General features: G+C 42.4%; 1 protein-coding gene across 8 annotated transcripts in view; it reads left to right on the top strand.

Annotated features, from left to right (window-relative positions):
* The window catches only part of CLPB (ClpB family mitochondrial disaggregase), a 149,037-nt gene that overhangs the window by 83,478 nt on the left and 53,478 nt on the right, over nt 1-12,081 (top strand). The gene's annotated exons all lie outside the window — the stretch shown is intronic.

The raw sequence follows: 12,081 nt of genomic DNA, 5'->3' as shown, positions 1-12,081 counted from the left end.
TTTGGATTCAAATGTTAAAGTCCCTCCATGTTAGCAGTTATCTGGGGGAGGGATGGGGAGAGATTGCTAATGGGTACAAGGTTTCTTCTGGAGATGATGAAAATATTCTAAAATTAGATTATGGTGATGGTTGCACAACTCTCTAAGTATACGAGAAACCTCCTCTAAATTGTGTACTTTAAATGGGTGAACTTTATGGTATGTAAATTACATCTCAGTAAAGCTATTAAAAAAGAAAAGAAAAAAATCCTCCATGCCTCTCAAAACCAGAAAATCTTGTCTTGGATGTCTGACTGATTGCCTGAAAGCAGGCTGGAAAGCCAGGAGGACCAGATCAACCCCACAGCTAGTGTGGTAGAGGAGATGAGCCCCTCTGTTGTATAAAACAGTTTCCTTTTAAAGAATATCATTAAAAAATTTGTAAACCTCTCTCTTCCCTTCCTTTTTATTGATTTCCTGTTATTATTTTAACAAATATGTATTGCATCCTTGTAAAGCTTAAAGTCTGGTAGAATATAGATGTTAGGCAAATAATTACAAAATTACCAGCTAATTATTAGCTAAATTGCTAGCTAATAATAAAAGTATTATTAAGGAAGAATAGAGGGTACTATAAGAGCATAATGGGACCTAATCTAGTCCGAAGGGGAATGGAGGAAGTCTTCCCTGAGCATATGGCATTTACACTGAGACTCAAAATGTGGATGTTAGCCTGTCATTTAGCTTGAGAAAATCCTGTGGAGAGGGATGTCCATTAGTCATCCAAAGGGATCCAGCAGTCTAGTCCAATTTTGGGGAGTGGAGGAGTTCTGTGGTATTGTATCTGCAGCCCATGTGGAAGACCAGGCCTTGAAGGGGCCCTCAGTGACCTAAGTCCTACCCTCAGCCCTTTACCCAGTATAGAATGAGGAACTGTCCTTGCTCACCGCAGGGAAAAGTATTTCTGTATCCTGGCTCCTGTGGACATCGAGGAGCCACTGCATAGTTGAGCTGGAGATGAGCCTGGTCACCAGAGCCCATGCTCTCCAGAGCCACTTGCCATCCAGGCCCCCGCATTTCATCAAGGCTTTAATCGGCTCCAAGCAGTCCTCAGATGAGCCTGGCCGGTATCCGGCATGACCTCATCACCGCCAGTAGTGGCAGCTGGAGGCCAAGGCTCCCTTGGGTGAGGGAGAGGTCAGCATCGGCTGGGCCAGGTCTGTTCCGTGTCCTACACTCTCCTCCACCTGCACTGAGCCTGGAAACAGCGCTGAGTCAGAATCAGATTTTCTAGCTGCCCTTTGCCAGCCCACTCATGCCCCCTCCAGCGTATGTGCTGTTGGGCAGAATGCACAGATAAAGGACCACACTGCAGCTTTTGCTGTTGGGCAGAATGCACAGATAAAGGACCACACTGCAGCTTTAAGAAAGGAGAATGTCAATCTGAAAGTCAGGGCCTGTAAAGTAGCAGCAAAAGCCCCTTCCAAGGCTGAGACTGGGGATGACCAGAACCAAGTGTCCCTTCCCAAAAGGAGTTTGCTCCTAGCATTCAAGTGTCCCTTCCCAAAAGGAGTTTGCTTCTAGCATTCATGTGCTGTCTTCCTAAGATACAGAAGCCAGGCAGTATCCAAGGAAGAACACAGCAGGGATGTTCTCTATAGGTTTGGACCACAGACTCCTTCCTGAACTGCATTTTGGAAATGAGTATTTTTTAAATGTAGCAGAAAAAAGGAGCTTGCCACTTGAGAAATCCTTCAGGGACCCCTTTGAAGTAATAGAAGCCTGTGTGGTAAAGTGCTGACTAGGGGTCAAGGGACCTGGCACATGGTTCTGGCACTAACTCTGCCTTGCTGTCAAGCAAGCCCTTCCCCCGTACTGAGCTTCAATTTCCTTATCCGTAAAATAATATAATTGGACTATAATCTCAGACTTCCTTTCACTGTAATATTTTGTGATTCTGAATACTTGCTCACTGATCTGTCTTAAGTATTTATTTATTCAGCAACTATTAATTATTTTCTTACAACTAACCACCATCATCCCTATTCTCAGTTCCTCTGATACATGTTCTTAAAGCATCCTGTATGATTTATCACTTTTACCATAACATGTAGTTCTATAGTTATTTGATTAATATATCTCTCCTTCACTTAACAGTGAGTTCACAGAAGATAGGATGTGGATCTGAGGTACTGTGTTCCCAGCACCTTGCACTGTCCTTAGCATATGATAGGTGCCTAGCCAACATTTGTTGAATTAATGGGTACTAGGCATGCCAAGAAATAAGAGAAAAAGATACAGGCACTTCCTTGAGACTACACCCTGTACAGTGATAGTTTGGTGAAAATGCCCATATGCAAAGCACACTGAGAACAGTGCAGGACAGTAGATAACAGGACTTTCAATTAAACATAAGCAAGGGCCAGAATTAACAGCTGTCATGGGGAATGAGGAGGGGAGAGACCAGTGTGGCATTATAGAAGGCTTAATGGAGGAGGTGAGACCAGAGCCAGACCTAGAAGGACAGGTAAAATTCAAACAAAGAGAGAGAAGGAAGGAAGCTTTTCAGGTGAGGCAGCAACAGGAGCTGTCCACAGGAGCCAGGAGCCAGAAATACTGTGTATTATTTAGAGTCCTGGTAGAAGCTGGCCACCTGCTGGATAAAGGGGTAGGGAGATGGGTGTGGAGGATCTTGGGGAAGAGACAGAGGACTTGTACTTATTTTTGTAGTCCATAGAGAGCTCCTGAAGTGACTGTCTGTTGTTTATGTGTTTGTTTAGTGACCATTGTGATTTTTACTTTAAAAGTTGCACAAGATAAAAATTTGGAGTAGTACCAGAAGACATGCAGTGGAAAGGAAGTCTCCCTTCCACATCCCTGGTCCTCCTCAGAGGCAACCACCTAACTCTTCTTATGTATCATCCCTATTGCTGCTGTAACAAGTTATCACAAACTTAGTGGCTTAAAACAACACAAATTTATCTTATAGTTCTGGAGGGAAGAAGTCTGAAATGGGTTTCACTGGACTGAAAACGGTGTTGACAGAACTGTCTTCCTTTCTGGAGACTCCAGGAGAGAATCTTTCCTGTCTTTCCCAGCTTCTAGTGGCTGCCCACATTCTATGTCTCCATGCAGTTGCCATCCATCCTCAAAGCCAGCAATGACCGGTTGAATCTTTTTCACGTTTCCTCATTCTGACACTGGCTCTTCTACCTTCCTCTTTTACTTCTAGAAACCTTTGTGATTATATTGGGCCCACTCAGATAGTCCAGAGTAATCTCAAAGTCAACTAATTAGCAACATCAATTCTATCTGCAACCTTCATATTCCCCTAACATATTCACAGGTTCCAGGGTTAGAACATGGACATCTTGGGTGAGGGTGGGGGGTTATTCTGTGTATCACACTCTCGGAGATATTTTATAAATGCTTTATTTTTAATCCTGTTTTTGAATAGTTAATACTTGTACATAGTACAAAATTCACAAGAATTTTCAGAGAAAAGTCTACTCTCACCCCATCTCCAATCAAAGAATTGTCCAGTTTCTCCACTGTATTGTTACTATCTTTTCCCTTGACATTAGTTAGCACTCTATGAAGAGATAGCTTTTGGTTTTTGAGATAGAGTCTTGTTCTACCACCCAGGCTGGAGTGCAGTGGCACAATTATAGCACACTCCAATCTCTAATTCCTGGGCTCAAGTGATCCTCCCACCTCAGGGTCCCAAGTAGCTGGAGTTATGAGCCACCTTGCCTAGCTGAGTTGTTAAAAAAATAATTTTGTAGAGACAGAGTCTTGCTGTGTTGCCCAGGCTGTGAGGAGATACTTTTAAGACCACAAAAATATCCTGCTCCTCATCAAAATTTTACCCTAGAATTAGCACCCATCGCTGGTTTTTGCCTGAACCAATCTTTATGTGATGCTTGCCGAATGAATATTTTCCATGTTTTCTAACTCCAGCACGTACTCCACATTGACCAGTTAGCACTTGGCATTCTCTCTAAGCAAGAACCCCTTTCCCTCTATTTTCTAATACTGTCAAAATGTGTTCATGGGTACTTACCTTTTTTTTTTTTTTTTTTTTTTAATTTTTGAGATGGAATTTTGCTCTCGTCACCCAGGCTGGAGTGCAATGTCGTGATCTCGGCTCATCGCAACCTCCGTCTCCCGGGTTCAAGCGATTCCCCTGCCTTAGCCTCCTGAGTAGCTGGGATTACAGGTGCCCACCACCAAGCCCGGCTAAATTTTTTTGTATTTTTATCAGAGACGGGGTTTCACCATGTTGGCCAGACTGATCTTGAACTGCTGACCTCAGGTGATCCACCCATCTCAACCTCCCAAAGTGCTGGGATTACAGGTGTGAGCCACCACGCTCGGTGGGTACTTACCATTTTAATGTTGTAAAATTTATTATAGGCTTAGTTATGTTGGGGCTATCATTGCCTCATATTTGGCCAGTGTGGCATATCTCCATCTTTTTTTTTTTTAACATATAGCATTTTCTTATTTTTCTACATAATGAAATGTCTCAGGCTCATCTCGTATCTACCTTGCTGTTGCCCTGAAATCAGCTATTTCTTGAGGAGCCCTCGGATTTTTTTGTTGATAATTGTACTAGAGTGTGAAATCTGAGTACCAAGTGTACTCATTGCTCCTTCTGTTGATAGAGCCAAGAACTATTTATATAGGTATATACACATATATATACATATCCATTAAAATATACACATACATGTATATACATATGCACACAGATATTCTATATTGTTTACTTTTTTGTTTATAACGTGAATGCACTAAGGATGATATTTGCTTTTAAGAAACAGCATCTAGCTATGTTGTCCAGGCTGCTCTCAAACTCCTGGCCTCAAGTGATCCTCTCACCTCAGCCTCCCGTGTAGCTGGGACTGTAAGCACGAGCTATTCTTATGCACCTACATTTGTTAGTAATCCTGAGAACACCAATACTGCCTGCCCCCTCATCTGCCCCACATTCTAGTTAATCCTGACGGGTTCTTTCGTGTCTTCACACATTTCATATTAATATGTCCTTCTTCCTTAGTGACAATGGTAGCTGCAAATAACGTTGATACATTTATTTATTTACTCATTTGCTCAATCCTATAATACATCTTAAAAAGCTTCAGAACTGCTTTACCCATGCCACTGTAGAAAACAAATCTCCTTAAAAGTTCAGGTCAGGATTTGTTTGCAGTTCTCACCCCTAGTCTATCCAAGGCTGAGAGTATATAGTCAAATACTGGGTTCCTAAGTTACTAGGGTTCTTTTCTCCCCCTTCAGTGTGTTTATGCTCTTCATTTGAAATACAGTTGGGTTAATTTTTCAATTTGCTCTCAGTTTTAGGATTTTTCTCCCCTACGTATCCTGATTGATTTAATTTTATTGTTTGAATATGTAGAGCACTATCTCATTTCTAAAAGTCAAAGGTACCAAAAGGTATACTCAGAGAAGTAAACCTCCCTCCTGTATCCCTTTCAACCTGCTTCTGTCCCTCTCAGTGAGTCCTGACCCCTTGTAAATAATTAGCTTTGTTGTTTTCTGGTTTATCCTCCCTGTGTTTCTTTGTATAAGCAAATATTTGTATGTTCTCTTATTTCACTTTTCTGCCTACACAAAAGGTAGCATACTGTATATGTCGCTTTGCAGTTTGCTTTTTTAACTTAACAATATTTCTTGAAAATCACTTCATGTAAATTCATAGAGATATTCCTCATTTTTAATAGCTGCATAATACTTCATTGTATGTATATTCCATGTATTCTATACTTGGACCTTGAGATTTCCAATATTTTGCAGTTACAAATAATGCTACAATGAATAACCTTATGCATATATATTTTGGTCTTGTTGGAGGTATGCCTTTACAGTAAAGTCTTAGAAGTGGTATTGCTGGGTCAGGGGGTAAATGCATACGTCCTCTGGTTAGATATTACCAAGCTTCTCCTCCGTACGAGTTGTACCATGTTACACTTCCATTAGCATCGTATGAGAGGGTCTGTTTCCTTGTAGCCTCTCCAACAGAGTGTATTGTCAAGCTTTTGGATTTTTGCCAATATGAAGGTGAGACATAGTATCTCATTGTAATTTTAGTTTGATTATCTTATTATAAGTGAACTTGAACATCAATTCATATGTTTGGCGGTCATTTTATATCTCCTTTTGTGAATTGTCTATTTGTGTCTTTTGCCCACTTTTCTATAGGACTTTTGGTCTTGTTTTTCTCTTGATTTTTAAAATTTCTGTTTATGTTAAGAATATTAGCCCTTTATCTGTGATATATAGAAATATTTTATCCTACTTTGGATTGATATGGTTTTAACACTTCCCATGTGATTCTAATATATAGCCAGGAGTGAGAACCACTAGGGCAGTTTAAACAAATCGGAGCTGTTTTTTAAAGGAGAATGCCTAGAGAGAGAAAGGAATAAGGGCTGAGGACTCGGGCTTCGGTGACACTCAATAACTTGGAAAAGAAGAATGAACTGCAAAGGAGAGAAAGTCATGGATATTGCATATCATGGAAATCAAGGTAGAAAAGAAGGCCAGGCATGGTGGCTCTTACCCCTGCAATCCCACCACTTTGGGAGGCTGAGGTGGACAAATGGCTTGAGCCCGGGAGTTTGAGACCAGCCTAGACAACATGGCAAAACCCTGTCTCTACAAAAAAAAAAATACAAAAATTAGCTGGGTGTGGTGATGTGCCTGTGGTCCCATCTACTCAGGAGGCTGAGTGGGGAGGATTGCTTGAGTCCGGGAGGTGGAGGTTGCAATAAGCTGAGATTGCGCCACTGCACTCCAGCCTGGGTGACAAAGTGAGACCCTGCCTCAAAAAAATATGTTTTTTTAAGGTAGAAAAGAATTAAAAGGAGGCAAGATTGGTCAGCAGTATAGATTACTGCACCCATGGAGAGGAGGAAAAAGAGGTTGCTGGATGTGGTAATGACATTCATAGCCCTACCTCTCAGCACAACTTCATCTGTGCTTATTCAGGCTGAAGGAAGACTCTCCTGATCTGTGGGCAGTGGTTTTGTCGAGCAGTATTGCCCATGACCATAGGAGGCCTCTCCTGACAAACAGAAATGGAAGGAGCACAGCTCAGCTGTGTCATAATGGGGCCATAATTATTCAGTCAGCAGGTATTTTTTAAACTCCTACTGAGTGCCAATTACTGTTCTGGGCACAGGGTATCACAATAAAGATCTCATTTTTAATCTTTGCTTCTCTCTCACTACTTTCTAATAAGTTGGAAGTTTCTTTTACCCAGGACCATTCATCTGTTTTGTCATGCATCCTCAATTCTGGGACAAACTTGGTGAAATCCTCAGAATTAATGAGGGAAAAGCATCTTGAAAAAAATGGAATCACTAGCAACAGCAAGGAGCTCTGGGTCAAAGTGGTCCTCCTGGTGTTTGTAGTCTATCCCTGTCCTCTCCCCTTCCTCCTAGCCTCCCACCACCTTTCCACTTTTATTTTTGGTGATGGTTGCCTGGTGACTGTGGTTGGGCATAAAAGAAGGTGCATAAACTGGAAGAGTCCTTGTTGGCAGAAGCTTCTGGTTTTTTTAAAAAGCAAATGTTTTATGAGGGAGATGAGTAATTCCTTCAGCCTTGAATGAAAGCAGGTATCAGCAGATAAAACAGTTCCTGTTCCCAGAACCGTAGCCTATAACATTTGATATTATAGTTGAAGATACTACCTCCCCCACCCCCACATTTCCGATTCTCTCCATATAGGGAAGTGCAATTAGCAAAAAATATTTCATTGGTTTCTGTTGCTGTGAGTGTTCACAAAGGCAGCCATAAATAAGGCTTCCTATCTTCCTTGAGTTCAGACTGAAAGTCTGTATATTTGAGTGTACCTCATTCCAGTGAGCTTGGCTCAACCACTACTTTAATGTGCTGATACTTTTCATCCAAGCAGAGGGCTCTACTTGGCTTTGGGAATAGATGTGTAAGTGGAAGCAAAAGTCATCTCTTGATAACCCCTCTTCTCTGCCCTGCACATTAGGCTAGGATTGGTCAACAGAAGCTTAAACATCTGGTCAGCTCAGTCCTTTGGGGTGGTTGGGGTCTCGTAGACAACCCATCAAGATTGATTGGCCTCATAACTGAATTAGCCAGATGTGTGGGCATTGTGTGCCCTTTCCTCAGCCTCCTTTCAATGTTGTTAGATGGAAGCAGACGTAGGATTAGCATGTTTGAAGATGATGTGTTTTTAGTGCATGAACAAAAGCTGCCGCCTTCTACGGAGACTGTGGCTGTGCCCCAGACGTTAACAGTGTAATTATGACTGCTAAATTCAGCCCAGACCCCAGGCTCGGATGCTTTGGTCTCAGCTGTCATTTGCAGGAGGGAAGACTGCAGAGGCCTGAGGACCCTGGCTCTGATAGTGCACTTTGAACTCTGCTTTATCCAGAGCCTTTCCCTCCCCACTGACAGTTGCTCCTAGCTGCTCTCTGGCCATAGAACCTGCTGCCACCTCTGAGGAGAGTCTGTGCTATACTGTGGGGATAAGGAGGAGTAGGGCTGGCCTCTTGAAAGCCCACGACTTCCAGGAAAGTCGTGAACATTTTCATTTTGGGACTTGTCCAAAATGAAAATGAGCTAAGGATCCTCACTTCTTTGCCTGTGTCACATGCTATTCAGAGCATTATCCACCGTTAGAAAACCTCTACGTTAGCTTTGCATTGACCAGAGATCCTTGGCAGGAGTTTTTGCTTTTGCTGTTTTCCTTGTCTAACTCTGTTATGTTTGAATATTCATTTCCATGGTTTTTATACCACCTCTTTCTAACCACACTGATCTACCTATTTTCCGTAGAACAAACCAGGCATTTTCATGTCTTCCATAGCTTTGTTGATGCTTAATATTCCGTAGACATCTCTCATCCTCAATGCGTCCAAATCCATACCTCCTCACACTTTCTTCCATGTTCTCTTTGATGAATAGTATGGTTGTCTACTGGTCGCTCAAACTAGGAAGTGTTATGTCTGATGACTTCTCCCTCACTTTCCACCAAGCCCTGTCTTTCTTAGAATTTCATCTTAAGCCCATTCTCTCCTCTGTCCCCACTTCTCTAATTCAGGCTTCATCACTCTCACCTGGACTATTATAACAGCCTTGTTCTTCCTACCTCTAGGATCCCATCAAACCAGCCTCCATCTCACAAAACCATGTCACTTTCCTGCTTTAAAACCTTCAGCAGTTCCCACTGCCTATAAATTAAGCCCAGATGTTTAACCCAGCATGCAGTCACTCTAAAGTGACTTCTGCCACCAGTTTCCAAGAGAGGATGAGGATGATGGTTTGCTTCAGGATTGGGATCATCCTGTGGGCCTACCAGGAGGATGCCTGCAGCCAAGTAGGCCTGGGAGACAGGAACTGTCTCTGCCTATGGCCCACTGAACTGTTCACTACCTAGCATAGTTTTTCCTGCCTCCAAACCTGTCCTCATTCACTTTGCCTGGAATATCCTTTCCCCACTTCTCCACCTATCAAACTCCTACTTAGCCTTCAAGATCCAACTCATTTATATCTTTAATGTATAACTTTCCATGGTTGGCCTACATGAAGTGAATCACTTCTCACTCTGTTCCCCCACAGCAATTTTAGGAGACTATTTTATTGTTTTAAAGATTGCAATTGAAGCTTCAAAAAACAGAGCTTAACATGAATCTCCTCCTTACACACCCTCTTCCTCTTGCTCCTCTGATTCTGCTGCTGGTGGCCCTGACCAGATCTCTAACCTGGGAAGGCCATCCAGTCTCCCTTCTGTCTATTAAGGAGGTAGGGTAGCCGGCTCCCTGTTCAACACCCTATCCACTGTAGGAAGGAATGGTTAGTAATAGTAATTGAAGGAAAAATAACAACAGTTACCATTTTTTGATAAAAGCTCTGGACTAAGGCTTTTCTCTCTTTTAATACTTAAAATAACTTGCCAGGCGCGGTGGCTCACGCCTGTAATCCCAGCACTTTGGGAAGCAGAGGTGGGCGGATCACGAGGTCAGGAGATGACCATCCTGGCTAACACAGTGAAACCCCATCTCTACTAAAGATACAAAAAATTAGCCGGGCGTGGTGCCAGGCTGAGGCAGGAGAATGGCGTGAACCCAGGAGATGGAGCTTGCAGTGAGCCGAGATCGTGCCACTGCACTCCAGCGTGGACGACAGAGCGAGACTCCAGCTCAAAAAATAATAATAATAACTCTGCAAGTTAGGGACTCTTATTATCTACATTTCCATATGCATAAACAAGGGCACCAAGCAGTTCAGTAACAACCAAGGTTCACCACTAAGTGGCAGAGCCATTGTGTTATTATAGCTATGATTAGGATCTCATAAGCAGAATTCCAGTGTATGTTCCCAGAGCTCTCTAGGGTCCACCCTGTCCTCTGTAGGGTCTGGCATAAAATAGGTAATCTAGAATGTTGGTTGGTTGCTTGGTTGAATGAATGAATGAATCAGCATTCTACCCATTGAACTTGCCTTCAGGCGTAAGAGGGACTGGCTGAATGTCTGTAGCTTATGCCAAGAAGTATGGATTTTGTCTCATCTCCTAATGCCCAGCTGTACACAGACATGTTCCCTCCCACTCAGTAACAAACTGCCTGGAACTCTTTCCTGGCTCATATTTACAAGAGAATGTGATAAATTCCGTATCGATCCCTCCTGTTCCACTGTAAATTTTGCAAAAGATGATTAAATAGAGCAATAGAGTCTGCAGGCATTGTGGCTCAATATGTCGTGGACTGGTGTATCGACCTCCTCCATCCAAAGGCAGCCAGCGCCTATCTCTGCTGCCCCAAACCAGTAATTAAAATCCTGTGAGACTGGGATTTAAAATCCAATCATATCCCTGAATCAAGCCTTCTAGCCTCCCCGTGTGACGAGTGCAATAAGGTAACGGCAGGAGCATGTTTATGTCTGTGTTGAAGCAGTCCCCATAGGGTGGGTAAGAAATGGAGACTTGGGTAGCCCTGCTGGCTAAATCATTTCACCCTGACACCACAGCCACTTGTAAGACAATCTGTAGGTTCATAAACAAGTCCCAGCCAAAGACCAAAACTCAAGGTATAAGAGCAAAATGTCATGCACAAAAATGCACAAATTCTGTTTCACTGTACACTTACATTCTCACAGCCAGTAGTAAGTTTAAGCAAGTGATTTGGCCTTGATTAAACTGTTACTGGCCTTTAGTAACCAAACGCATTTTTGAATTTCCACAGGAACTCTGACTTAATCTAAACTAAAGCCAGCCTTCCATGTGCTGAGGTCTGTAATCAAAGCACAAGATACTACTGAAATAAACTTGTCCATCTCCCCTCAACTGGATCAGGAACTCCTGAAAAGCAAGAACAGTATCTTCTTACTCACTTTTGTATCCCTAGCACTTACCATGGTGCCAAACACATAGAAGACTCAAAAAAATATCTTTGAATGGATAACAATTAATCTTGAAAAAAAATCTGTAAACCAGTATATAAGTAGGAAACCTCCTAAGCGGTTGTCCATTTAATGCTTGAACACTTTCAGTGCTGGAGAACTCAGTTGCTCTTGAGGCTGCTCATATTCTATTTTCGGATGTTCCCATGGTTAGAAATTTAGCCAAAATCTGCTTCTCAGGGTTTTAATATTACCCTTGGATTCATGTAGAATGAATCTAATCCCAATTTAACATGATGGCCCTTGAAATATCTGAAAATGTCCAGCCTAAACCCTCTACTTCCTTAAACTATTTTTCTCAGGTGCCCTCTAAACCCTTTCCTTTCTCAATCACATTTCCCAGAACAATCCTCACTTTCTCTTCCAAACCTATGACTTCCTATTTATTTCCACTAACTTGCATCATATTTGCTTTAGCTCTTAATGTCAATCTTCCATCTGGTGTATTTGGTACCCTTCCCACCTTAATTACATCTGCAGATTTGATGAGGAAGATGTCCCTGTGATATCCATGTCATAGATAAACATGCTGAACAAGGACCAAGTGTTTGCTGCCAGTGGAAACTCCTTCCAGACCTCTGATCCATCAGTGACCCACCTCCTTGGGTCTGGTTAGTCCATCAGTCATTTACTAGCATTC

Source organism: Homo sapiens, chromosome 11 (genome assembly GCF_000001405.40).
Source record: "Homo sapiens chromosome 11, GRCh38.p14 Primary Assembly".
Taxonomy (NCBI): domain Eukaryota; kingdom Metazoa; phylum Chordata; class Mammalia; order Primates; family Hominidae; genus Homo; species Homo sapiens.
This window is presented reverse-complemented; position numbering and strand designations above follow the sequence as displayed.